The sequence below is a fragment of the Homo sapiens genome, chromosome 3, assembly GCF_000001405.40.
Source record: "Homo sapiens chromosome 3, GRCh38.p14 Primary Assembly".
Classification (NCBI taxonomy): Eukaryota; Metazoa; Chordata; class Mammalia; order Primates; family Hominidae; genus Homo; species Homo sapiens.
This window is the reverse complement of record NC_000003.12, coordinates 30,010,001-30,010,984: the sequence shown is the minus strand read 5'-3', so window position 1 is coordinate 30,010,984 and position 984 is coordinate 30,010,001. Positions and strand designations below refer to the sequence as shown.

The 984-nt window shown below is 37.0% G+C and overlaps 1 protein-coding gene across 11 annotated transcripts in view; it reads right to left on the bottom strand.

The window, feature by feature from the left end:
• Positions 1-589: 589 nt before the first annotated feature.
• Positions 590-984, bottom strand: part of RBMS3 (RNA binding motif single stranded interacting protein 3) — a 729,325-nt gene continuing 728,930 nt past the window's right edge. For 8 of the 11 annotated variants that reach the window (XM_005265061.3, XM_017006180.2, XM_017006179.2 and 5 more), the window contains one exon: positions 590-984. This exon is cut by the window's right edge and continues 6,145 nt beyond it. The gene's annotated coding sequence lies outside the window, so the exon portion shown is untranslated. The other 3 variants (NM_001003793.3, NM_001177711.2, NM_001003792.3) reach the window with 1 other exon arrangement.

The window sequence follows — 984 nt, the reverse complement described above, 5'->3', positions numbered from 1 at the left end:
TGTTTTCCTGTCTTCTACAGTAGAATGGAATATTTTTGAACAACACAGCAAATGACTATTACAGAACAGGATATTACTGGCTCTTAAATATGAGCTCCAAGCTAGCTTGGATTACTCTGGTCTGGAAAAATAGGTTTTCTTTTTATTTGCTTAGCACAGTCTTCTGTAACTTGAGGAATGGACACTTCTGATTTTGGTTGACCTGGATTTAATCCTTGCAGGGATACAAACCATAGGTGTCAAATATAACTGGCCTTCATCCAAGATTCATCAAGTAGTTGGTAGCTGTTAGGCATGTTTGGAGACAGGAGTTCTGTGGTCTCTAAATCCCTAAACTTGAGAATGAGGAAGATTGTGGGAGTCCCTGGGAAGACCTAAATGGTCCTCTCTTTCTAAATTCCCACAAACAGTGGCTTTCTCAGGTCCCCTTGGCATGTATTGAATATTCTCTCCTCTGTCATTTTTTGTTAGCTGAGATGATTATTTAAAAAATTCCAGCACTGTTCCAGATTAAAGGTGGGCACCACTCCTTCCTATCAGCCCTCCTCCCACAACCAGTCTCTGGATGAGTGCAGAAAAACACAACAGCCCTATTCAATTGATTTTATTTTCATTTTTTATTGAAAGCTTCATCAAAGAAAACAGAAGTTTAAACCTAACATCCACTGATCTACAGAAAGCCCAAGGGATGGGGGAGATGGTTGCTAATTTGACTGTGGTACAGATGAAGAAATTAAAAATAAAACCAGAAACACCTTAGAATTACAGAACTTTCCATGACAGTCAGAGACAGCAGTACAAAAATGCTCTTAAATAAAGTTCAAAATTGAATGATGTTTCAGAAGTTCCATGAAGTTGAATATGGACTGAAACAAGGGTTTTAAAAGAAGCTGTGTCCCTTTTTTTTTTTATAGAGACTGAATATCTCATAGCAGATACTACTACATATATTTTTTTAAATTAAGATTCCATTTTTCTTCTTCT